Genomic DNA, 26,715 nt, shown 5'->3' on the forward strand with positions numbered 1-26,715 from the left:
AAGCCTGGCCAATTTTTGTGTTTATTTATTTATTTATTTTGAAACGGAGGTTTGCTCTTGTTGTGCAGGCTGGAATGCAATGGCGTGATCTCCGCTCACTGCAACCTCTGCCTCCCGTGTTCTCCTGCCTCAGCCTCCCAAGTAGCAGGGATTACAGGTGCCCGGCATCACACCGAACTAATTTTTTCTTGAACTCCTGACCTCAGGTGATCTGCCCACCTCAGCCCTCCCAAAGTGCTGGAATTATAGGCATGAGCCACTGCGCCCAGCCTCCTTTAATCTATTTCTTATTTCAAATTAAGGTAATCTTATTTTTCTCCTAAACCTATCACACAGGGTTGTAGGAAGGACCCTAAACACCAGTATATGATGCCAGCAATATAAATATTTGCTTCTAAAATCTATTGTCAAATTCTTAAAAGATAACACAGGCCGGGCATAGTGGCTCACACCTATAATCCCAGCATTTTGGTGGCTGAGGTGGGTGGATCACTTGAGGCTAGGAATTTGAGACTGCCCTGGCCAACAGGGGAAAACCCTTTCTCTACAAAAAACACAAAAATCAGCCAGGCGAGGTGGTGTACACCTGTAATTCCAGCTACTTGGGTGACTGAGGCAGGAGAATCCCTTGAACCCGGGAGGCAGAGGTTGCAGTGAACTAAGATTGTGCTACTGCACTCCAGCCTGGGCAAGAGTGTGACTCTGTCTCAAAAAAAGAAAAAAGATGATAAATCTTTGTTGTTCCATAACATTAGTTAGTAGAAGTTAATATCTTAAATCGTACACAAAAGTATCTCTCCTCCATTTATGTTCTTTTTTTTTTTTGAGACGGAGTCTCGCTCTGTCACCGAGGCTGGAGTGCAGTGACGCGATCTCAGCTCACTGCAGGCTCTGCCCGCCGGGGTTCACGCCATTCTCCTGCCTCAGCCTCCCGAGTAGCTGGGACTACAGGCGCCCGCCACCTTGCCCAGCTAATTTTTTGTATTTTTAGTAGAGACGGGGTTTCACCGTGTTAGCCAGGATGGTCTCGATCTCCTGACCTCGTGATCCGCCCATCTCAGCCTCCCAAAGTGCTGGGATTACAGGCGTGAGCCACCGCGCCCGGCATATATTCTTTGTACTATTTCAGTTTGACTGGGTCCCAGATCTGTACAGGTCTAGTCTGGGAGTCTTCCACTAGAATTCATATTCCTTTAGCACTGCCAAAGTTATAGTATGTCTGCTCCTGAGCCCAATATATTTCATTCCTCAAAGTTCAAGGGGTATCAAGATAAAAATACCATAGTAGTATAGCCCAAAAGTTAGTTCAGTCAAATAAATGCCTGAGTTTATTATGACATTTGTAGTAATTTATAAACTAAACCAAGATATGAGCATTATCTGTTCAAAAGAAGTTGGTGTTTCACGGTCTTTTATATTTTAGACCTACAGTTGTCTTAAGTCACTTGCAGAAACTTGTTGGTGGAAGGAGGTGATAGAAAAACATGAGCTATTAAATGGTGGTTAGTTCTTTTTTTTTTTTTTTTTTGAGACGGAGTCTCGCTCTGTCACCCAGGCTGGAGTGCAGTGGCGCCATCTCAGCTCACTGCAAGTTCCGCCTCCCGGGTTCACGCCATTCTGCCTCAGCCTTCTGAGTAGCTGGGTCAGGTGCGTGCCACCACGCCTGGCTAATTTTTTGTATTTTTAGTAGAGACGGGGTTTCACCATGTTAGCCAGGATGGTCTCGATCTCCTGACCTCGTGATCCACCCGCCTTGGCCTCCCAAAGTGCTGGGATTACAGGTGTGAGCCACCGCGCCCAGCCTTTTTTTTTTTTTTTTTGAGACAGAGTCTCACATTGTCGCCCAGGCTGGAGTGTAGTGGTGCGATCTTGGCTCACTGCAACCTCTGTCCCCCAGGTTCAAGAGATTCTCCTGCCGCAGCCTCCCTAGTAGCTGGGATTATATGCATGCCCTACCACGTCCAACTAATTTTTGTATTTTTAGTAGAGACAGGGTTTCACCATGTTGGCCAGGCTGGTGTCAAACTCCTGACCTCAAGTGATCCTTCCACCTTGGCCTCTCAAAGTGTTGCAATTACAGGCTGAGCCACTGCGCCCAGCCTTCTTTTTCTAAGAGACAGGGTCTTGCTCTGTTGCCCAGGCTGGAGCACAAGTGGCTGCTCACTGCAGCCTCTAACTCCTGGCCTCAAACCATCCTCCCATCTTAGCCTCCTGAATAGCTAGGACTACAGGTGCATGCCACCATGCCTGGCTAATTTTTAAATTTTTGTAGAGGCAGGATCTTGCTATGTTGCCCAGGCTGGTCTCAAACTCCTGGCCTCAAGTGATCCTTTCAGATTGGCTTCCCAAAGTTCCGGGATTACAGGTGTGAGCCACCACGCCTGGCCTTTATTTTCTTTACAGAAGGTCTGATATAATGCCTTACATCCTTTCCAGCTCTTGTTTCTGGTACTCCAGTTTTGAATTTTTCATGGATTTTGACCAGGCACTATGGCTGATTAGAATAAATCTCTTGCCTTTGTGTAGTGGTATATGCTAGCAGGATTCTAGGGATTCTTATGCTGTCCTACCAATTTTGGAATTATCTTTTTTTTGTTGCTGTTTTTTTGAGATGGAATGTGGCTTTGTCGCTCAGGCTGGAGTGCAGTAGCGCGATCTCGGCTTACTGCAACCTCCTCTTCCTGGGTTCAGGCAGTTCTCATGCCTCAGCCTCCTGAGTAGCTGGGATTACAGGCATCTGCCACCACGCCCAGCTACTTTTTGCATTTTTAGTAGAGACAGGGTTTTACCATGTTGGTCAGGCTGGTCTTGAACTCCTGACCTCAAGTGATCCGCCTTCCGTGGCCTTCCAAAGTGCTGGGATTACAGGCGTGTGGCACCGTGCCTGTCCCCAATGTTGGAATTCTCTGGTAACAACTCTTGAGTGCTGAGTGCATCTCCATGGACTAAAATGCATCATGAAAAGATTTTTAAATCTGAGTTGCTTCCAAGTGTTTACCAGGGCCAAACGAAGCAAAATGTCACTTCTCTCTTGCCCTTATTCCTCTTCTATTCCTGGTCTTCTGTTAGTAGCTGGAGAAAAATCCCCTCAAAGGATACCTGAATTAGAACTTTTATTAGGGTTATTTTCAAGCATATATTTTTATTTTTTGAGACAAAGTCTTGCTCTGTCACCCAGGCAGGAATATAGTGGCATGATCTTGGCTCACTGCAACCTCCGCCTCCCAGGTTCAAGCAATTCTCGAGCCTCAGCTTCCCCAGTAGCTGAGATTACAGGCATCTGCCACCACACCTGGCTAATTTTTGTTTTTTGTTTTCCAGTAGAGACAGGGTTTCACCTATTGGCCAGGCTGGTCTCAAACTCCTGACCTCAGGTGGTCCATCCGCCTCGACCTCCCAAATTGCTGGGATTACAGGTGTGAGCCACCATGCCTGGCTTTATTTTTATTTTTTGAGACAAGGTCTCGCTTTGTCACCGAGGCTGGAGTGTAGTGGCACAATGATAGGTCACTGATGGATTGAACTTGTGGACTAAAGGGATCCTCCTGCCTCAGCCTCCTGAGTAGCTGGGACTACAGGCATGTACTGTCACACCTCACTAATTTTTTGAATTTTTGTAGAGTCAGGGTCTCATCATCTTGCCCAGGCCAGTTTTGAACTCCTATCCTCAAGTGATCCTCCCACCTCGACATCCTGAAGTGCTGAGATTACAGGAATGAGCCCGCATGCCCAGCCTCAATTTTTTTTTTTTTTTTTTTTGGAGACTGAGTCTCGCCCTGTTGCCAGGCTGGAGTGCAGTGGCGCGATCTCGGCTCACTGCAACCTCTAACTCCTTGGTTCAAGCAGTTCTCCTGCCTTGGCCTCCCGAGTAGCTGGGATTATAGGCACGCGGTGCCACTCCCAGCTAATTTTTGTATTTTTAGTAGAGAAGGGGTTTCACCATGTTGGCCAGGATGGTCTTGATCTCCTGACCTTGTGATCCACCTGCCTCAGCCTCCCAAAGTGCTGGGATTACAGGTGTGAGCCACCGAGCCCGGCTCATTTTTATTTTTAGTAGGTTGATAAGTCAGTGTGCCTTTTTTGACTATTTATTTATTTATTTATTTTTGAGACAGAGTCTTGCTTTGTTGCCCAGGCAAGAGTGCAGTGGTGCCATCTCGGCTCACTGCAACCTCCGCCTCCTGGGTTCAAGCTATTCTCCTGCCTCAGCCTCCTGAGTAGTTGGGATTACAGGCACACACCACCACGCCCGGTTAACTTTTGTATTTTTGGTAGAGACGGGGTTTCACCATATTGGTCAGGCTGGTTTCGAACTCCTGACCTCGTGTTCTGCCCACCTCGGCCTCCCAAAGCGCTGGGATTGCAGGCGTGAGCCTCTGCGCCCAGCCAACTTTGTTTTTGATGCAACCTAAGCTTTTGAATTAGTAACCTTCCTTTTCTAAACCTCCCCCTTTTTAAGCATTTATTTTTACAATAAGAAGGCCTGCATCTATATTCTTGGGGGCGCGTTTCATTTATGTAGTGTGCAATGTCCTAGGCACTATACTAAGCCCTCGGGTATATAAGGGTGAACAAAATGGATGAAGGCCCTGCCTTTATGGAGCTTAGTGTTAGGGGAGAAAGACATAATCATTTAATAAATATGAAATAAGTGCTGGGAAAGAAAAGCATAAGAAAACTGTGAGTGTATAAAACAGGAGAACCAGCTTTCATTTGAGGTGTTAGATTTGGGAATAATGACGATCAGGGAAGGCATCTCTGAAGAAATAAGCTGAGATTTGAAAGAAGTGTACAGAAGTAAAATGGGGTGGGAGGATGAACAAATAGGTGGTTCTAGTTAAAGGGAATATTACATATAAAGCATTTGATGCCAGAGTAGCTGTGTAGAAAGAGCAAGTCTCCTTGAGAGTGGTATGAGAAGAAGCTGGAGCAGATGGCCAGGGCCAGACAGTGCATTGTCTTCAAGGTAATTTAAGGATGTTGGTCTTAAGAAAGTCGTTTGTTCGTTCTTTTTGTTGTTGTTGTTCTCTAAGAGGTGGGGTCTTGTTCTGTCACCCACACGGGAGTGCAGTGATAGGTTCATAGCTTACTGCATCCTCGAACTTCCAGGCTCTGTTGTCTTACTTTATTTTTTATTTTACTTTTTAGAGATGAGGATTTGCCCTGTCGCTGAGGTGGCAGTACAGTGGTGTGATCATGGCTCAACTACAGCCATGAACTCCTGGGCTCAAGTAACCCTCCTGCCTTAGCCTCCTGAGTAGCTGGGACTACAGGCACATGCTACCATGTCCCACTTATTTTATTTTATTAAAAAAAGGTTTTTTTAGGAGACAGGGTCTCACTTCATCAGCCAGGCTGGATTGCAATTGTGCGATCATGACTCACTTTACCCTTGACCTCCTGGCCTCAAATGATCCTCCTGCCTCAGCCTACCGAATAGCCTAGGACCACAGGCGCAAGATACCATGCCTGGATGATTTTGTAAAATTTTGTAGCCGGGGCACGGTGACTCATGCCTGTAGTCCCAGCACTTTTGGAGGCCGAGGCGGGCGGATCACGAGGTCAGGAGATTGAGAACAGCCTGACCAACATGGTAAAAACCCCATCTCTACTAAAAATATAAAAATTAGCTGGGCAGAGTGTCGTGCACCTGTAATCCCAGCTATTCAGGAGGCTGAGGCAGGAGAATCGCTTAAACCTGGGAGATGGAGGTTGCAGGGAGGAGAGATCGCGCCATTGCACTCCAGCATGGGCGACAGAGTGAGACTACATCTCAAAAAAACTTACAGTAGAGATCCATTGTCTTGTCATGTTGCCCAAGATGGTCTCAAACTTCTGGCCTCTAACAGTCCTCCTGTCTCAGCCTCTCAAAGCATTGAGATTACAAGTGTGAACCATTACACCCAGCCTGTTGTTTTTAAAGTTGTATATTATTATTATTATTATTTTTTGTTTTTGAGATGGAGTCTCGCTCTGTCGCCCAGGCTGGAGTGCAGTGGTGCGATCTCGGCCCACTGCAAGCTCTGCCTTCCCGGGTTCACGCCATTCTTCTGCCTCAGCCTCCTGAGTAGCTAGGACTATAGGCGCCTGCCACCACGCCCGGCTAATTTTTTGTATTTTTTAGTAGAGATGGGGTTTCACCGTGTTAGCCAGGATGTTCTCAATCTCCTGACCCCGTGATCTGTCCGCCTCGGCCTCCCAAAGTGCTGGGATTACAGGCGTGAGCCACCACGCCCAGCCAGTATTACTATTTTTTTGAGAGGGAGTCTCACTCTGTCGCCAGCAGTCTCGACTCACTGCAACCTCCGCCTCCTGGGTTCAAGCAATTTTCTTGCCTCAGCCTCTGGAGTAGCTGGGACTACAGGCGTGTGCCACCATGCCTGGCTAATGTTTTGTGTTTTAGTAGAGATGGGGTTTCACCGTGTTGGCCAGGATGGTCTTGATCTGACCTCGTGATCGGCCCACCTCAACCTCCCAAACTGCTGGGATTACAGGCATAAGCCGCCGCACCCAGTCAGTTTTTAAATATATATAGTTATTGTTTCTGCATTGTTCTGTTTCTTCTAACATTAGACCAGTAGTACATATGATGGTTAGGATTGTAATCTGAGTTCCAGGAGCAGGATGCTGCTCTTCGGTCACTTCAGAACCTCGAGATATCACCGAAAACCCTCCCTACCCACCTCTGCTATTATTGCACTTCTCGCCTAGTATTGTGGTATGTAAAAAAGTCATTAAATTCTTAAATTATTTATTTTATTTTCTCTCTATATATACGTGTGTGTGTGTATATATATGTATATATGTATATATATATATTTTTTGGTTTTTTGAGACAGTCTCATTCTATGGCTCAGCAATGTCGCCATCTAGGATCACTGCAACCTCTGCCTCCCAGGTTCAGGGGATTCTCATGCCTCAGCCTCCCAGGTAGCTGGGATTATAGGCATGTGCCACCACGCCCAGCTAATGTTTGTATTTTTAGTAGAGACTAGTTTTCACTGTGTTAGCCAATCTGGTCTTGAATTCCTGACCTCAAGTGATCCACCCACCTCGGCCTCCCAAAGTGCTGGATTACAGGCCTGTGCCAGCGTGCCTGGCCTTATTTTATTACTATTATTATTTTTGAGATAGAGTCTTGCTCCATTGCCCGGGCTGGAGTGCAGTGGCACGATCACTGGCTCACTGCAGTCTCAACCTCCTGGGATGAAGAGATCCTCTCTCCTCAGCCTCTTGATTAGCTGGGACTACCTGGCTACATTTTTTGTTTTTTTTTTTTCTCTTCCAGATGGAGTCTTGCTTTGTTGCCCAGGCTGTAGTGCAGTGGTGTGATCTCTGCTCACTACAACCTCCACCTCCTGAGTTCATGTAATTCTCCTGTCTCAGCTTCCTGAGTAGCTGGGATTACAGACATGCACCACCATACCCGGATAATTTTTGTATTCTTTTTTTTTTTGGTACGGAGTTTCTTTCTTCTTGCCCAGGCTGGAGTACAGTGGCGTGATCTTGGCTCACTGCAACTTCCACCTCCCAGGCTCAAGCGATTCTTCTGCCTCAGCCTCCCGAGTAGCCGGGATTACAGGTGCCTGCCACCACGCCTAGCTAATTTTTTTGCATTTTTAGAGACAGGGTTTCAACAGGTAGAGCAGACTGGTCTCGAATTCCTGACTTCAGGTGATCTGCTCGCCTCAGCCTCCCAAAGTGCTGGGATTGTAGCCGTAAGCCACTGCCCCCAGCCAGTTTTTGTATTTTTAGCAGAGATGGAGTTTCACCATGTTGGCCAGGCTGGCCTCGAATTCTTGACCTCAAGTTATCCACCAGCCTCAGCCTCCCAAAGTGCTGGATTACAGGTGTGAGCCACTGCACCTGGCCCTGGATTACAGGTGTGAGCCACTGCACCTGGCCCTGGCTCACCTTTTGTCCTTTTTTTTTTTTTTTTTTTTTTTTTGAGACAGAGTCTTGCTCTGTCGCCCAGGCTGGAGTTCAGTGGCGCAATCTCCGCTCACTGCAAGTTCTGCCTCCCGGGTTCATGCCATTCTCCTGCCTCAGCCTCCCGAGTAGCTGGGACTACAGGCGCCTGCCATCACGCCCGGCTAATTTTTTTGTATTTTTAGTAGAGATGGGGTTTCACCGTGTTAGCCAGGATGTCTCAATCTCCTGACCTCATGATCCGCCCACCTCAGCCTCCCAAAGTGCCGGGATTGCAGGCGTGAGCCACCGCGCCCAGCCCCTTTTGTACTTTTTGTAGAGATGAGGTTTCACCGTTTTGCCCAGTGTGACCTCGAACTACTGAGTTCAAGTGATCTGCCCACTTTGTCCTCCTAAAGTGTTAGGATTACAGGCGTGAGCCACTGCATCCGACCTATTAAATTATTTTTAAGAGAACTATTGTATTAATGATTTTTCCCTACTTTTCTATTTTGTACATTTAGCTGCAGTTTAAAATCTTTAGGCTGGCCCAGGCATGGTGACTCACGCCTGTATCCCAGCACTTTGGGAGGTCAAGGCAGGTGGTTCACTTGAGGTGAAGAGTTCAAGAGCAGCTTGACCAACATGGTAAAAACCCCATCTCTACTAAAAATCCAAAAAATTAGGCCAGGTGCGGTGGCTCACGCCTGTAATCCCAGCACTTTGGGAGGTCAAGGCAGGCGGATCATGAGGTCAAGAGATTGAGACTATCCTGGCCAACATGGTGAAACCCCATCTCTAGTAAAAATACAAAAATTAGCTGGGCGTGGTGGCATGTGCCTGTATTTCTAGCTACTCGGGAGGCTGAGGCAGGAGAATTGCTTAAACCTGGGAGGCAGAGGTTGCAGTGAGCCGAGATTACACCGCTGCACTCCATCCTGGCTACAGAGTGAAACTCTGTCTCAAAAATAAATAAATAAATAAAACATTAGCTGGGCATGGTGGCGTGCACCTGTAATTTCATCTACTCGGGAGGCTGAGGCAGGAGAATTGCTTGAACCCAGGAGGTGGAGGTTGCAGTGAGCAGATATCGCACCACTGCACTCCAGCCTGGGTGACAGAGGGAGACTCCGTCTCAAAATAAATAAATAAATAAAATCTGTAGACTACCTCTTAGGTTGGTTATGTGTCTTTCCCACCATTAATAAGATCTGATGTTTTCCCTTTCTTTTTTTTAATACACTTTGCCTTGACTATAAGCTTTGAAGTTGTTTTCAAATTGTCATCTTTTCAGTCTTGAGTTTTTGTTCTTTTTTCAGAACCTGGCTATACATTTCTTTTTGCATACTTACTCTTGAAGGTGCCTCATCAGTTGCCACTTAAGCATATCTGATTCTTAAAAATTTGAATATTCAAGAACAAATTGTAAAAATATTCCTTGTATAATTTTTGGTTTTGTAGTAATTCCTTTGTTTGCTTCACAGTACTTCTGCAGAGTGATCCATTTGTAATTAATAGACACACACACATCATCCACCATTGAGCTTTATCTTCTCATTAGAAAGTGCGTCTAACCCCTATATTTTGAGATCCTGGATTTCAGAATATTGGACTTGATGTAGACACGAGTTTCTCAGCTTTACATATCATAGGATGAAATGTATATAACAAAAGTTGAATAGCTAACATCTAACTATAGAAACCAAGTAGATTATCAGACTTGTCCTGTTTTGAGGTAATACTGCCATGCCCTTAAAATGAAGCCTTATTCCTGCTGCTAGCAGATTCATGTATATAAATTAGAGGCACTAATCTTGGTCTCCTCTTGTCATAAAAATTACTTCCTCTGTGGGATCTGGCTGTTCTTAAAATGGGAGGCTCTTCCTTGAATTAGATTTCAAAGTGTTAGTCTCTTATGAATTAGCTTAGCATCATTTTCTGTAGACTGTATCAGAACTGTCAGATGTTTGTGCTTGGAATGCTGAAATTTGCATCTCAAAATTTCAAATTCTTTACCTGATTTCTTGTTATCATGTGTCTTACTTCCTGAGAAGATGCAGGGAGCACATGACATAGATGAACTAAGTTTCTTATATCTTATTCTGGTCATGTAAACTAGATTTTTTTGTGGCCTAAAACCAAATAGTCCTGACCAACCTTACGTGTTTCTTTTCCTCCCGTTCATCTGGTCCAGCCTAACCAATTAAGATGTGGACAAAGTAGCTGCAAGAGAGGGCAGAGGGAAGGGAGAGAAAACTTTGCCCTTTTCCTTGGAACAAACCACCTATGGAAGGGATCATTGGTACACTTTATTCTAGTACATATCAGAGTGTTTACTTTTTTTTTTTGAGACGGGGTCTCGCTCTGTTGCCCAGGTTGGAGTGCAGTGATGCAATCTCGGCTCACTGCAACCTCCGCCTCCCAGGTTTAAGCGATTCTCCTGCCTCAGCCTCCTGAGTAGCTGGGATTACAGGTGCCTGCCACCACGGCCAGCTAATTTATGTGTTTTTAGTAGAGATGAGGTTTCACCACGTTGGTCAGGCTGGTCTCGAACTCCTGACCTTGTGATCTGCCCGCCTCGGCCTCCCAAAGTGCTGGGATTACAGGCGTGAGCCACTGCGCCCAGCCAGAGTGTTTACTTTTAGGTGAGGAAGGGGAAATCATGCATAGCAAGTCACATTCCCAATGTCACCTTTATTTATTATTTATTTATTTATTTTTGAGACTTGCTCTGTCACCTAGGCTGGAGTGCAGTGGTGTGATCTTGGCTCACTGCAACGTCCGCCTCCCAGGTTCAAGCTGTTCTTCTGCTTCAGCCTCCCGAGTAACTGGGATTACACGCGGGTGTCACCACGCCTGGCTAATTTTTTGTATTTTTAGTAGAGACAAGGTTTCACCATGTTGGCCAGGCTGGTCTCCAACTCCTGACCTCAAGTGATTCCCCCTGCCTCCTTCCCAAAGTGCTGGGGTTATAGGTGTGAGTCACCGTGCCTGGCCCCAATGTTGTCTTTTAAAATTGGTTAATTGAAATTTAGAATTCTTTCTCAAAGTCCGGGCATGGTGGCTCACACCTGTAATCCTAGCACGTTGGGAGGCTGAGGCAGGTGGATTGCCTGAGCTCAGGAGTTTGAGACCAGCCTGGGCAATATGACGAAACCTCTCTCCACTAAAAAATACAAAAAATAAACTGGGCATGGCAGCATGTGCCTGACTCCCAGCTATTCAGGAGGCTGAGGCAGGAGAATGGCTTGAACCCTGGGAGGCAGAAGTTACAGTGAGCCGAGATCACGCCATTGAACTCCAGCCTGGGTGACAGAGCGAGACTCCGTCTCAAAAAAAAAAAAAATTCTTTCTCACAAAGAAACACTAGTATGATAATGGCTGGTTGGCTGGGCATAGTACTCACACCTGTAATCTCAGCACTGGGAGGCCGAGGTGGGTGGATCACCTGAGGTCAGGAGTTCTAGACCAGCCTGGCCAACGTGGTGAAACCTCATCTCTACTAAAAACAGGAAAATTAACCTGGCATGGTGGCGGACACCTGTAATCCCAGCTACTCAGAGACTGAGGCAGGAGAATCACTTGAACCCAGGTGGGAGGTTGTGGTGAGCTGAGATCGCACCACTGCACTCCAGCCTGGGCTACAGTAAGACTCCGTCTCAAAAACAAAACAAAACAAAAAAAGCTGGTTATACAGGCTATCCTATGTAAGGTATAATGTACCATTTAAAACTGTCTCAAATCACCTGTGGTGAAAGATCATTTTGTTTATTTGTTAATTTTCAGTGTGTTGTTAGTAGTAGTCTCAATTTCTTGAGTTGTAGAATGGTAACATTTTTCTTAATGACCTCAGTTTGTAGACAACATTTTAAGTAACACTGATTTAAAATATTCTCTGGGGTAAATAAATGTAAGATCTTTCTGGCATTTCAGAGTTGGAGCTTACCCTCACACTTCTCAGAAAAGTAATGTAAATAATACTAATAGTACTGCAGTGTAATGGGCCATCATTCCTGACCTTTAAATTTGTATTACTCTAGGAGGACATTATCTTATGAAAAAAATTTGTTGGGTCACTTTCTGTAAGACACTGCTAGGTGCTAGGGACACTAATAAAAAGATGTATATGGAAAAATAGTGACTAAAAAGTGGTAAATAAGAGTGCTTGTAAAGGGATAAAGTGGTCATTTAGCTCTTGATTGATTGGGTTTAGGGTCTTTGTAGAAGAGGGAGAGAGTATTTTGCTGGATACTTTATTATTTTCTGCAAGCCTGACCAGGCACAGTGGCTCATGCCTATAATCGCAGCACTTGGGGAGGCTGAGGTGGGATGATCACTTGCACCCAGGAGTTCATTACCAGCCTGGGCAACATAGCGAGACCCTGTCTCTAAAAGAAAAAAAAAATAATTGAATTAAAACCTTAAACAGGCCAGGCGCAGTGGCTCACACCTGTAATCCCAGCACTTTGGGAGGCTGAGGCAGGTGGATCTCTTGATCTCAGGAGTTTGAGACCAGCCTGGGTAACATGGCAAAATCCTGACTCCACAAACATGTAAAAATTAGCCAGGCATGATGGTGCATGCCTATAGTCTCAGCTACTCTTGGAGGCTGAGGTGGGAGAATCGTTTGAGCCTGGAAATTGGAGGTTGCAGTGAGCCTAGATTGTGCCACTGTATACCAGTCTGGGTGACACAACGAGACCCTGTCTGAAAGCAAAAAACAAAATCTTAAGCCTCACACTCTCTGTGAGAGAAAATATCCTCATTTTATAGATAACAGACCGCAGCGAGTAAGTGGCACCAGAATTCAAACTTGGATTTTCTGACTCTATAAATTCAATTCTATTTCATATGTAAGGCTTTCGTAGAACAGGAAATGAGAACCATTTCAGCAGTTAGACAAAAGATTTGGTAGGTGGGGTCTCAGTAGATGTGGAGAAAGGAATGATAGATAAAAAGTAGATTCTTATGAAAGTTAATCTGGTCTTAGTATGTAGTTTTAATTGAAGCAACAAAGAGTAGGATAGATTTGTTGTGACTGGTGGATTATCTTCTAATGTGAGAATTGTAGAATATTCCTCTTTCACTTATGTTTTGGGTTTTAGCTAATTCTGCTATGTAAGGTAGTATTTATGGAACTTCTTCTAGAATAATGCTGTCTTTTTAGTAAAATAGCACGTAGAAATCTGATTCATGTAAAAATGTTTATAATATATGAATTGCTTATACAGAATAGGTTTTTAAGACTCCTGTTGTATACGATTATTTATTATTATTATTTTTTGAGACAGTCTTGCTCTGTCGCCCAGGCTGGAGTGCAGTGGCACAATCTTGGCTCACTGCAGCCTCCACCTCCTGGGTTCAAGTGATTCTCCTGCCTCAGCCTCCTGAGTAGCTGGGACTACAGGCGCATGCCACAACGCCTGGCTAATTTTGTATTTTTAGTAGAGATTGGGTTTCACCGTGTTAGCAAGGATGGTTCTTGATCTCCTGACCTCGTGATCCACCCGCCTCATCTCCCATCCCGCCTCATCTCCCAAAGTGCTAGGATTACAGGCATGAGCCACCACGCCCAGCTGATACTTAAGTTGTGGTGGTGGTTCTTAGGTATTTTTTTTGTTTTGTTTTGTTTTTTGAGACAGAGTCTCACTCTGTCGCCCATGCTGGAGTGCAGTGGTGCGATCTTGGTCACTGCCACCTCCGCCCTCCGAGTTCAAGTGATTCCTCTGACCTTTGAGTTCAAGCAATTCTCCTGCCTCAGCCTCCCGAGTAGCTGGGATTACAGGCGCCTGCCACCACGCCTGGCATTTTTTTTTGTATTTTTAGTAGAGACGGGGTTTCACCATCTTGGCCAGGCTGGTCTTGAACTCCTGATCTCATGATCCACCCGCCTTGGCCTCCCAAAGTGCTGGGATTACAGGCGTGAGCCACCGTGCCCGGCCATTCTTAGTTTTTAACTTTATATTTTTGCTTTCTCCCATCCAAGTACCAACCAGGCCCAACCCTGCTTAGCTTTTGAGATTTGGCGCGTTCGGGGTGGTATGGCCATAGGCACCGGCCCTCTGCTTTCTAACTCTGCTTGGACCCTTATAGTTCTACTCTTCCATAATAATTTTGTCCTCTACTGATAGCATACTTTTTTGTTGTTTGTTTTTTGTTTTTTTGAGGCGGAGTCTTGCTCTGTTGCCCAGGCTGGAGTGCAGTGGTGCAATCTCGGCTGACTGCAACCTCTGCCTCCTGGGCTCAAGTGATTCTCCTGCCTCTGCCTCCCGAGTAGCTGGGACTACAGGCACACGACACCATGCCTGGCTAATATTTGTATTTTTAGTAGAGATTGGGTTTCACCGTGTTAGCCAGGATAGTCTTCATCTTCTGATCTCTTGATCCTCCTGTCTTGGCCTCCCAAAATGCTGGGATTACAGTTGTGAGCCACCGCACCCAGCCCCTAGCATACTTTCTAGAACATACTTTTCTAGAACATACTTTCTGTACTACTGTTCTAGAAATGCCTGTCAAAATCCCAACTCTGTAGGTTTTTTTTTTTGAGACTGAGTCTCCCCCTGTCACCCAGGCTGGAGTGCAATGGCGCAATCTCGGCTCACTGTAACCTCTGCCTCCTAGGTTCAAGCGATTCTCCTGCCTCGGCCTCCTGAGTAGCTGAGACTACAGCCATGTGCCACCATACCCAGCTAATTTTTGTATTTTTAGTAGAGACTGGGTTTCACCATATTGGCCAGGCTGGTCTCGAACTCCTGACCTGGTGATCCCCTGCCTCGGCCTCCCAAAGTGCCAGGATTACAGACGTGAAGCACTGCACCCGGCCCACACTGTAGTTTTTTTAGCAGACAGTTTCATGGCCTACTTCACTAAGTAGATGGAGATATCCCCCCATCTTCCATGGAAATGTCTTTCTTACTTGCCTCTTATTTCTCTATCTTAGAAAAAGAGGAATCCAGTCGGGCTCGGTGGCTCACACCTATAATCCCAGCTACTTGGGAGGCTGAGGCAGGAGAATCGCTTGAACTCGGGAGGCGGAGGTTGTAGTGAGCCAAGATTGCGCCATTGCACTCCAACCTGGGCGAGAAGAGCGAAACTTCATCTCAAAAAAAAGAAAAAGAGGAGTCCTGGTCAAATTTACAGGGCAACCTCTTCATAATATGTCCTTATTTCCAGTCATTACTTGTTCCTTAGTACTCTCTTGCCACAATGTCTTTCTGTAACTGTTCCCATCTGACTATAAAAATGCCTAGATTGTCACCATCATTTAAAAAAAAAATATATATATATGCCCTTTACTAGTCCTTAGTGCCCAGCAACTATTTCATTAGTAAATGCCTTATGTAAGGGATCAGTACTGCTTTCCTTTCCCCACCATCTGTTCTGTATAGCCCTCCATAATCTGGTGTCTGTACATGTCACACTATGGAAACTATGCTCAGGAGAGTTATGAATGTCTCCTGATCAACAACTGTATTGTGTTTTGCAGTTTAAAGGTACTTCAAAAGCTTATTGATGCTTCTGTTTATTTTATCCCATGCTTATTGTTTTTTTCTATTGTTAATAGATGTTTGTGAAAATAGAAGGAGCACTAGTTCTAGTTCATGCTTGCTTTTGCTTTTCCATAGCTTCTAAAACTAACAGTGAAAATGATATATTGAAACAGTAAATTATAGATCTATACCAGATTTGTAATTGTGTATTTCATTGCTATTTGAAGTATAAAGTAATGGTTCTGTATCATTTATTGGGAAGGTTGAATTTCCATAGCTTCAAAATATTCAAATTTTTTTGCATGGATTTAGCTACGCTTTTCAAAATTTCCTTTTGATGAAGTCATTGACTAAAGCGTCATTAAAACAAAACAAAAAAAGAATTCCAAAAACCCTCCAAAATTCCTTTTTAAAGATAGGAAGGCATACCTGCTGTCATTTTATAGGTAGAACACTAAAACACAGTAAATTACCTGGCCTCCAACTTGGTAGTCTGATTTTTTTCTGCCTTGGTCTGGTGTTTTTGTGGTTTTGTTCTTACTTTTTGTGAGTTGTGAGGGGTTTTTTGTTGTTTATTTTTTGTTAGGTGTATAGACACACTTTTGGATGTCATATTTAACAGGGAAAGCATAGAGTCATGGGCCTGAATAACAGTTGAGTACAAATATTTATAAATTGGTTGAAGTAACTTTGATTTCAATGTTATATTTTAAAGTCTAGGTTATTTTACTACAGAGCATTACAATGATAAAATATTTCCTTTTTTTTTTTTTTAGCTTGTCAGCTCATTTGCAGCTTACGTTTACTGGTTTCTTCCACAAAAATGGTATGTATTTAAAAGTAAATAAAGTGGCATTTTAATAGCAAGATACCTTTGTGAATGTAAAAAAAGTGGGGCTTCTGAGTGTAAATTTATAAAATTAAGTTTAATGGAAAATATGTTGGTTCTGATGTTTTTGAACTTTAAGGTATGAAGGCTAATGATGAAATTTGTTTTTGGTGGATGGGGGTGCAGAGTGAAGGCTGGAGTGCAATGTTATGATCTTGGCTGACTGCAGCCTCCACCTCCCGGGTTCAAGCGATTCTCCTGCCTCAGCCTCCTGAGTAGCTGGGATTACAGGCACGTGCCCCATGCCTGGCTAATTTTTTGTATTTTTAGTAGAGACAGGGTCTCACCATGCTGGCCAGGCTGGTCTTGAACTCCTGACCTCGTGATCCACCCGCCTTGGCCTCCCAAGGGGGCGTGAGCCACCACGCCTGGCTAATGATGAAGATTTTAACAAATTGTCTTAGAACTTCAATAGGTAAAGAATCTCCTCAGTAGAACCTTTTATGCATAAACATTTTGAATTAATGATACTGTATCATGTTTTAAAAAAACACAGTAAAACAACTGAAATAACCACTATTACCAATGGCATATATTAATATTTTAGATATTATTCAAAGGAAATTATATGGTATATTACTCCAGTAAAAGCTCAAAGCATGCTGGAAAGAATTAGAGTTGTTTTAAAAATGGAAAAATACGGCCAGGCGCAGTGGCTCACGCCTGTAATCCCAACATTTTGGGAGGCTGAGGCGGGTGTATCATGAGGTCAGGAGTTCAGGATGTTCAGGAGTTCAGGAGTTCAGCTGGCCAATATGATGAAACCCCATCTCTACTAAAAATATAAACATTAGCCAGGCGTGGTGGTGGGTGCCTGTAGTCCCAGTTACTTGGGAGACTTAGGCAGAAGAATCACTTGAACCTGAGAGTCGGAGGTTGCAATGAGCTGAGATTGCGTTACTGCACTCCAGCCTGGGCGACAGAGCGAGACTCCATCTCAAAAAAAAAAAAAAAGGGAAAATCACTTATCAGCTTATCCATCATAAGTCTGTGTATATGGCATATCTTTTTATTATGCAATGGAATAAAACCATTATTAGAAACATGCCAGGTTGGTTGTCTTGGTATCGTTTAGTAAGAAACAAAGATTGAAAATGAGTCCTGGTGGGCCGGGCACGGTGGCTCACGCCTGTAATCCCAGCACTTTGGGAGGCTGAGGCGGGTGGATCACAAGGTCAGGAGATCGAGACTATCCTGGCTAACATGGTGAAACCCCGTCTCTACTAAAATACAAAAAAACTAGCTGGGTGTCGTGGTGCACACCTGTAGTGTCACCAGTGGCACTCCAGCCTGGTGACAGAGCGAGACTCTGTCTAAAAAAAAAGAAAAAGAAAATGAGTCCTGGCCTGGTGGCTCATGTCTGTAATCTCAGCATTTTGGGAGGCTGAGGTGGGAAGATGACTTGAGGCCAGGACTTCAAGACCAGCCTGGGCAACACAGACCCCATCTCTACAAAAATTAGCCAGGTATGGTGGTATGTCCTGTAGTTCTAGGTACTTGGAAGTCCAAGATGGCAGGATGGCGTAAGCTCAGGAATTCAAGGTTACAGTGAGCTATGATTGCACAACTCTACTCCAGGCTGGGCAACAGAGTGAGACCTTGTCTCCAAAAAATCCCAAATATTAGACTGGGCGTGGTGGCTCACAGCTATAACGTCAACACCTTGGGAGGCTGAGATGGAAGAATAGCTTGAGGCTTGCCTGGGCAACATAGGGAGAACCTGTCTGTAAGAAGTAAAAAAAGATTAACTGGGCACAGTGGCACATGCCTGTAGTCCCAGCTATTCTGTAGTCTCAGCTACTCAGGAGGCTGAGGTGGGAGGATTGCTTGAGTCTTGGAGGTTGAGGCTGCAGTGAGCCAAGATCACACCACTGTACTCCAGCCTGAGTGACAGAGTGAGACACTGTCTAAAAAAGACAAAAAGACAACCTTGCCAATTGGCCAATTGTCAAAATGCTCTAATATAACCATTTTTTAATGACTCTTTGGGGGTTGTTTGTTTGTTTAGACAGGGTCTTGCTCGTGTCACCCAGGCTGGAGTGCAGTGGTGTGATCAACTCCTGGGCTCAAGTGATCCTCCTGCCTCAGCCTCCTGAGTAGCTGGAACTACAGGCGTTCCCACCATGCCTGGCTAATTAAAAAAAATTTTTTTTGTTAAGATGGAATCTCACTACATTTCCCAGGCTGGTCTCAAACTCCTGGTCTCAAGTGATCCTCTCACCTCAGTCTCCCAAAGTGCGGGGATTACAGGTGTGAGCCACTGAGACTGGCCCTAGTTAGGGTTTTTATGTAAGAAATTTGAAATCTCGTATTTGTATTAGCAGCTAATGTAACTTCTAGTTTTTACCTTAGATCTGGTCTATTTTTTATATAGAAGTAACCTGGGTAGCATTACGGTTTTTGTTTTCCTTAAATTATTTGTAATGGTCTGCTTAGAGTCCTTATTTCTAGTCATCGTATTTTGTTTTCTGTGGTACTTCTGACGTGTCTAGACTTTAATTCTTCAGAAACTTATAATTTGAATTTTATACATTCATTAGCCCTTTGTTCTCAGGGACCTGTGTAGAACACATAGTTTATCCATCACTGAAATTTTTGGAAAGTAGTCATATTAAGCTTTTTTCCTATCTTCATGACAAAATATATAAAGTTCAACAATTGCTCAGATTTACTTTGTTTTTATTTTTCTTGATATTGAAGTAAAAGAGATAGTGAACTCTGTTGATATCTCTGTTTCCAGAAAATAATTCCTCTGTCACCTAGGCTGGAGTGTAGTAGTTTGATCTCAGATCACTGCAGCCTCTGCCTCCAGGTTCAAGTGATTCTCATGCCTCCACCTCCCAAGTATCTGGGATTACAGGCGGGTGCCACCACACAAGCTAATTTTTTTTCTTCTTTTTCTGAGATGGAGTTTCACTCTGGTTGCCCAGGCTGGAGTGCAATGGCGCAATCTCGGCTCACCACAACCTCTACCTCCCGGGTTCAAGCAATTCTGTTGCCTCAGCCTCCCAGAGTAGCTGGTATTACAGGCATGCACCACCATGCCCCGCTAATTTTTTGTATTTTTAGTAGAGATGGGGTTTCTCCACGTTGGTCAGGTTGGTCTCTTGAACTCCCGATCTCAGGTGATTTGCCCACCTCGGCCTCCCAAAGTGCTGGGATTTCAGTAGGCATGAGCCACCGAGCCCAGCCCCTAATTTTTATATTTTTAATGGAGACAGGATTTCATTTCACCATGTTTGCCAGTCTGGACTCAAACTCCTGGCCTCAAGTGATTCACCCACCTCGGCCTCCCAAAGTGCTAGGATTATAGGCGTGAGCCACCACGCCTATGTTGAAAATAACTATTCTATTTTAACTTTGAAACTAGTAGAAGTTGGAAGTAGATATATTGTGTTTCTTTTCCATCCAAGGTTTATTTGTACCTTTTTTGTTTTCAATAATATTTTTAAGAAACCAGGATAGAAAACCAACATCAAGTTCTCTAAAATGTACCAGGAGCAGTGATGCTTGCCTGTATTTCCATCTACTGAGGAGGCTGAGCTGGGAGGTTTGCTTGAGCCCAGGAGTTTGAATAGAGTCTGGGCAACATAGTGGGACCCTCTCTCAAAACAAGGAAAAAAAAATTTTTAATTCTTAAAATGTGATTTTTTCTTCTTATTTTCTTACTATTAATTATTTTTTAGACAGAGTCTTGCTCTGTCACTCATGCTGGAGTGCAGTGAGCAGTCTTGCTTCATTGCAGCCTCCCGGGCTCAAGCGATCCTCTCACCTCAGCCTCCCAAAGGGCTAGGATTACAGGCATGAGCCACTGCATCCGGCCTCTTGTTTTTAAATGAAAACTTTTGTTTGGCAATTACTACTTGAAACTGCTTCTTAGAATGAATACACAAAGATTATTTGGGTACTATTTTCATGATGAGTATTGTTCGGCAAATATTTTTGTTACTGCATTTAGACATTGGACTATTTTTTGCTGTATTAAGGTGTTTTTATCCTGGATGCAACTTCCGAAGAAACTGATCAAATGTGTTTTACACACACACCCCCAATAAGAATGTTTTTAAGTAGAAAAAAAGTGTTGCCGGCCAGGCGCAATGGCTCACGCCTGTAATCCCAGCACTTTGGGAGGCCGAGGCAGGTAGATCACCTGAGGTAGGGAGTTTGAGACCAGCCTGGCCAACATGGTGAAGCCCCGTCTCTACTGAAAATAACCAAATTAGCTGGGAATGGTGTTTCATCCCCATAATCCCAGCTACTCTGGAGATTGAATCATGAGAATTGCTTGAACCTGGGAGGTGCAGGCTGCAGGGAGCCGAGATTGTGCCACTGCATTCCAGCCTGGACAACCGAGTGAGGCTGACTCAAGAAAAGAAAAAAAAAAATTACCCAGGCTTGGTGGCTTGTGCCTGTAGTCTGTAGTCCCAGCTACTCGGGAGGCTGAGGCAGGGAGAACTGCTTTAACCCAGGAGGCGGAGGTTGCAGTGAGTCAAGAACATTCCATTGCACTCTAGCCTGGGCAACAGAGCAAGACTCTCTCTCTCAAAAAAAAAAAATAAAGAAAAAATGTGTTGCCCAGTGCCTTAGAACAAAAAATTTTTTTTGTGTGTTCATGGATTCATCTATTATAATAGTTCTGGATGTTATTGAAGCTATTTGATGAATTAGTGATTAAATATTCAGTTATGAACTGTTAATACCTTTGGGACTTTAAAAACAAGTTATGGAGGACTACTCTAGAACCTTAATTTGTAAAGCCTGTGTTAATTTACATAGAGAATATAGACTATGGTATTCAAAATTAACACCCCTAAATTTTTTGTAAGCCAAGATATTCTAGATAGTAAATAATATCTTGATTTTTGTTATCCCATTTAAACTGTAGAGAAATTCTGGGGAAAGCATCTAAAAATAGCTCTGATAGCTCTGTCTCTACGTTTTATAATGTTTAATGTTTTTTGAAATCCATTTTTTATCCTTTTGGCCACAAGTCTTGGTCAGATCAAGAACTTTTTAGTTTAGTTGTCTCTGTGCATTCATAATGAAACATGTATAATGGTAACTGATTTAATTCAAATGTTATCTTAATACTTTTTCTAGTAGATTTTAGGAGAAGAAAAAAATTGAAGATGCTTATTTTGAATGTGGTTGTCTCCTGCAACTTTTTTTTTTTTTTTTTTTTTTGGAGATGGAGTTTCGCTCTTGTTGCCCAGGCTGGAGTGCAATGGTGTGATCTCAGCTTACTGCAACCTCTGCTCCCCAACCCCTGGTTCAAGCAGTTCTGCCTCAGCCTCCCAAGTAGCTGAGATTACAGGCATGCACCACCATGCCTGGCTGATGTTGTATTTTTAGTAGAGACGGGGTTTCTCCGTGTTGGTCAGGCTGGTCTCAAACTCCCGGCCTCAGGTGATCCACCTGCCTCGGCCTCCCTAAGTGCTGCGATTATAGGCGTGAGCCACCACACCTGGCCCTCCTGCAACTGTTTTCATTTATGCTTTCTGCCAAGAAGCTTTAACTGTATTTGTCAAAATTACTTTTGACTAGCAGTGTATTATCATAAATGTTAAATCTTCAAGCCGGCCCAGTTGCATGTGCCTGTAGTCTCAGCTACTTAGGAGGCTTAAAATGGGAGAATCACTTGAGCCCAGAAGTTTGAGACCAGCCTGGGCAACATAGCCAGACCCTTGTCTGAAAAACAAACAAAAATATTAAATCTTCAAATTAGAAATATTCAGTAAATATGGCCGGGTGTGGTGGCTCACACCTGTAATCCCAGCATTTTGGGAGGCCAAGGCAGGTGGATCACTTGAGGTCAGGAGTTCAAGACCAGCCTAGCCAACATGGTGAAACCCCATCTCTACTTAAAATTAAAAAAATCAGCTGGGTGTCCTGGTGCGCACCTGTAGTCCCAGATACTTGGGAAGCTGAGGTGGGAGGATCACTTTAACCCGGGAGGCAGAAGTTGCAGTGAACCAAGATCGCCCTACTGCACTCCAACCTGGTTGACAGAACGAGTCTCTGTCTCGAAAAGGAATTAGGAAATATATATATGTGTATATATATGTATGTATGTGTATATATATGTGTATATATATATATGTGTATGTATGTGTGTTTGTGTGTGTATATATATATATATATATATAAATAGAAATGTGTAGATGTGTTTTAGAGACAGGATCTCACTCCTTCGCCCAGACTAGAGGGCAGTGACAGGATCATAGCTCACTGCAGCCTTGAACTCCTTGGCTCAAGAGATCCTTCCACCTAGCCTCTGAGGTAGCTAGGACTACAGGCACATGACACCCACCACACCCAGCTAATTTTTTCACATTTTGTAGAGACGAGGTTTCTGTGTTGCGCAGGCTGGTCTTGAACTCTTGGCCTTAAGTGATATTCTTGCCTTGGCCTCCCAAAGTGTTGGGATTACAGGCATGAGCCACTATGCCTGGCCAGTGAATATTTTTTATACTTACAACCTGGGCATGGTGGCTCACGCCTGTAATCCCAGGTACTCAGGAGGCTGCCGTGCTGATGTGTGAGGATCACTTGATCCCAGGAGCTTGTGATTGCAGTGAGCTGTGATTGTGCCACTGCACTGTACCTTGGGCAACAGAGCAAAACCTATATCTAATGGAAAAAAAAATTACAGCATATAGGACGGTAATTATATTTGTTTTGTGAGTGGTTTATTTACACTATATATAAAGGCTTTTAAAGAGTTTGCTGTAAGTTTGGAACTGATTTGAGGAAAAAAGAATGAGTGAACTTTTGAGAAGTCTTACTGTGGGAAATCTCTGTTTGAAGTTCCCTGACTTGTTAGCAAAATGAATACCTTGTTCATATATTTTTTAAATATATTTTAAAATACTGATTTTCTATTTAGATAAGCCATCACCAAACTCAGAAAATGAACAAAATTCTGTTACCCTGGAAGTCCTGCTTGTGAAAGTTTGCCACAAAAAAAGAAAGGTAATGTCAACAAAATGATATTGGTAGATTAAATGGAATAATTTGCTTAATTGGACATCTTTATGCATATATATTGTATTTTAAAGCTTAGTTTTAAATTTTGAAAGCTTAAGAAATGTGTTGATGGCCTAATTATAAAACTGATAACCTCTTTTGCCAACTCGCATATCTGTGTAGTTTTTCTAGTCTTTTAATAAGTGTCTGTACAAAACTTTCTCATAGGAGTCTGGAAATGGAGAAGCTATGTTTTAGCATCTGGCATAAATTCAGTTGCTGTTCTACCATTTCAATCTGTTAGCGTATTTCTTAGCTGTTTGTACCCATTGACATTTTAGGTAAGGGCTAAGAGAGAGTTTTTTCCACAAGATTATCCTTTGTAACACTGCTCTCAGGCAAAGAAATTTTGTTGTCAGCGTTATTAGCCATTCACTTATTAGTACATTGCTTCAAATTTTTATAAGGTGAAGTTATTTCACCATAGAAACAAGTGTTAAGATGTTTCCTGGTCAACCGATCAAAGCCAACATATGTACCTTTAGTTGCCTCAAGTCCTCGAGTGTTTCAAGAGGAGTAGGAGCTGGTCTGGGTCCAGGGTCCCAGTGCTGATATTCTTCCAAGACCATAGGCCATAAGGGCCTCAATCACTGGGAGGGAGTAGACTAAGGCACCATGGAGGCAGCAGTGGAACTTTATTTTTGAAAGTTTATGTAAAGGCCGGTTGCCGTAGCTCACACCTATAATCCCAGCACTTTGGGAGGCAGAAGTGGGCAGATTGCTTGAACCCAGGAGTTAAGCATCCTGGGCAACATGGTGAAACCCTGTCTCTACCAAAAATACAAAAATGAGCTAGGCATGATGGCCTGTGCCTGTAGTCCCAGCTACTCGGGAGGATTGCTTGAGCCCAGTAAGTCGAGGCTGCAGTGAGCCATGATTGCACCACTGAGCTCCAGCCTGTGCGACAGAGTGAAACTGTCTCAAGAAAAAAAAAAAATGTATGTAAAGTTAGGAAATATCACTCCTTGCCAGGTGCTGGTGGCTCACGCCTGTAATCCCAGCACTTTGAGAGGCCAAGGTGGGCAGATCACGAGGTCAGGAGATCGAGTGGCTAACACGGTGAAATCTCGTCTCTGCTAAAAATATAAAAAATTAGCCAGGCGTGGTGATGGGCACCTGTAGTGCCAGCTACTCAGGAGGCTGAGGCAGGAGAATGGTATGAACCCGGGAGGCGGAGCTTGCAGCGAGCCGAGATCGCACAACTGCACTCCAGCCTTTATCACTTCTTACTCCTACCTAACCTCCATACACATTACAACAAGTGATGATATGAAAATCCAAGATACATTACTTAGAATAAGATATGAATATAAATATAGTCATTCTTATGTTCAAAAAAATGTATCGGGGTAATCATTTTCCTGGAAGAATATACACAGCCAACTGCTAGTATTAGTCATCTCCGGAGCGTAAGACCTGGGGGGGTGGGTGAGAATTCATAGTTTTCACTTTATAGTCTTATAAAATAGAAATTTTTTTAGACTGTATGTATTCTATTTATTTAAAAGAAGTAGCTGCTGTAAGATACTGTCATAAAAGTCTTCTGATCCTTCCAGTTTTTCTAGTATGCATTTTCAGTGTAACTAATCATACAATAACAGAATATTACTCAGAATATGATCATTGGTAGATAAAACCAGTTTTGTTTTTGTTTTTTTAAGGATGATGATTCTTTCTGTTAAACAACATATTTTAACTATATGGATTTACTGTTTCATAATGTAGTTGTTGACCATGGGATTATTAGTCATTTTTTTTTATTTCTAATGGTCCTATTAGTCACTGTCATGTTAAAATAGAACATTTAAGAGATTTGATAAAAGTACATGAGTTTAACATTTTAGCATGGTTTTTTTGTTGTTGCTAAAAAGCCTTACCAGAGAGATTTAGCATGCTTTTAGTTCTAAATTTCTAATATACAACTGTTTCAGATCACTGTTAGCTAAATATTAGGTATACTGTATCATAATTTCATTATGTTGGAGAAAACCTCAATTGCTTTAATATTTGGAATATAGGTATTTCAAATGTTTATTTTTGCTTCACAGTTTGCAGAACTATGGTTAGAATTTTAACATTCCATTTGGTGATCATGGCCTATCTCCCGTGTTTCCTATAGCTGTGATTAGAAGTTTTATTATAATTCTTATTGCTTATATACAAATAAATATAAATTAATAATGTTTACCTTTGCAGGATGTAAGTTGTCCAATAAGGCAAGTTCCCACAGGTAAAAAGCAGGTGCCTTTGAATCCTGACCTCAATCAAACAAAACCCGGAAATTTCCCGTCCCTTGCAGTTTCCAGTAATGAATTTGAACCTAGTAACAGCCATATGGTGAAGTCTTACTCGTTGCTATTTAGAGTGACTCGTCCAGGAAGAAGAGAGTTTAATGGAATGATTAATGGAGAAACCAATGAAAATATTGGTAATTTTTTTTTTTACTAGATTTTATCACTGGAGACTAAGATGGTCATTGAAAATGATTGTACCAGTGTTCCTTCATGATAGTCATGGTGCTGAGTCTTAAAGCAAACAGTGAATTCACCTCCACCTCAACATTTTGTTGTGCAAATTTTCAAACATAAAGGACAATGAGAAGTATTTTATAGTGAACACCTATCTACTTACCTCTTAGATTCAACAATGAACATTTTATTATACTTGTTGTGTATTTATCCCCCTGCCCATCCCTCTTTTCTTCCAACAATTGTGAATTCATCTTTGAGGTATTCATTCAACAAACACATAGGTGCTGGGGATGATTTAATTTAATCGAAGATGATTAAAACATTCAGTCCTATCCTCCAAAGTCTCACAACCTAGTGTAGGGAAATAGACATGAAATATATCATTGCAGCAAAATGATGAGTGCCATAATACAGGTATATGTGAAGTTCAGCAGAGAAACACGTTGGAAAAAATAATCTTTGACTCGAAGTATTGTTTGAAGTTTTTGGGAGTTACCACGAGTGAGAAGGAGTTTGCCTAGCAAAGATAATTCTAAACAGAAACATTAGCATTTGCAAAGATGTGGGGTTAATGTTGTGATTGTTAAAAAGAACATATAGTAAAAATGCAAAATTGGAAACATGTGGTCTGTATATTATTGCAACTTTAGTGTAATTCGTACCTCATTTGGGATAAATGTAGCATGTTTTATGTTAAGGGACCATATATCATAACACATTTTTGTTCTAATATTTGATTTATGAGAAATGTTTGTTAAATTTAGATGTCAATGAAGAGCTTCCAGCCAGAAGAAAACGAAATCGTGAGGATGGGGAAAAGACATTTGTTGCACAAATGACAGTATTTGATAAAAACAGGTAATGTTGATGAACAAGTGAGGCTCCCACAATGTTCTGGAAATGTTTTCATTCTGAAGCAGAATATAATTAT

At 43.0% G+C, this 26,715-nt stretch overlaps 1 protein-coding gene and 1 pseudogene across 7 annotated transcripts in view; one reads left to right on the forward strand and one right to left on the reverse strand.

Annotated features, from left to right (window-relative positions):
* The window catches only part of SUZ12 (SUZ12 polycomb repressive complex 2 subunit), a 64,032-nt gene that overhangs the window by 12,966 nt on the left and 24,351 nt on the right, over positions 1–26,715 (forward strand). For 5 of the 7 annotated variants that reach the window (XM_047435704.1, NM_015355.4, NM_001321207.2 and 2 more), the window contains 4 exons: positions 16,175–16,224; positions 23,174–23,259; positions 25,510–25,741; positions 26,549–26,642. In XM_047435704.1, the coding sequence (XP_047291660.1) occupies positions 16,175–16,224; positions 23,174–23,259; positions 25,510–25,741; positions 26,549–26,642 (462 nt within the window). Of the gene's footprint in view, positions 1–6,491; positions 6,719–16,174; positions 16,225–23,173; positions 23,260–25,509; positions 25,742–26,548; positions 26,643–26,715 lie in introns of those variants that run through there. The other 2 variants (XM_047435705.1, XM_047435706.1) reach the window with 2 other exon arrangements.
* RNA5SP437 (RNA, 5S ribosomal pseudogene 437) lies at positions 13,833–13,961 on the reverse strand (annotated as a pseudogene).

Source organism: Homo sapiens, chromosome 17 (assembly GCF_000001405.40).
Source record: "Homo sapiens chromosome 17, GRCh38.p14 Primary Assembly".
Classification (NCBI taxonomy): Eukaryota; Metazoa; Chordata; class Mammalia; order Primates; family Hominidae; genus Homo; species Homo sapiens.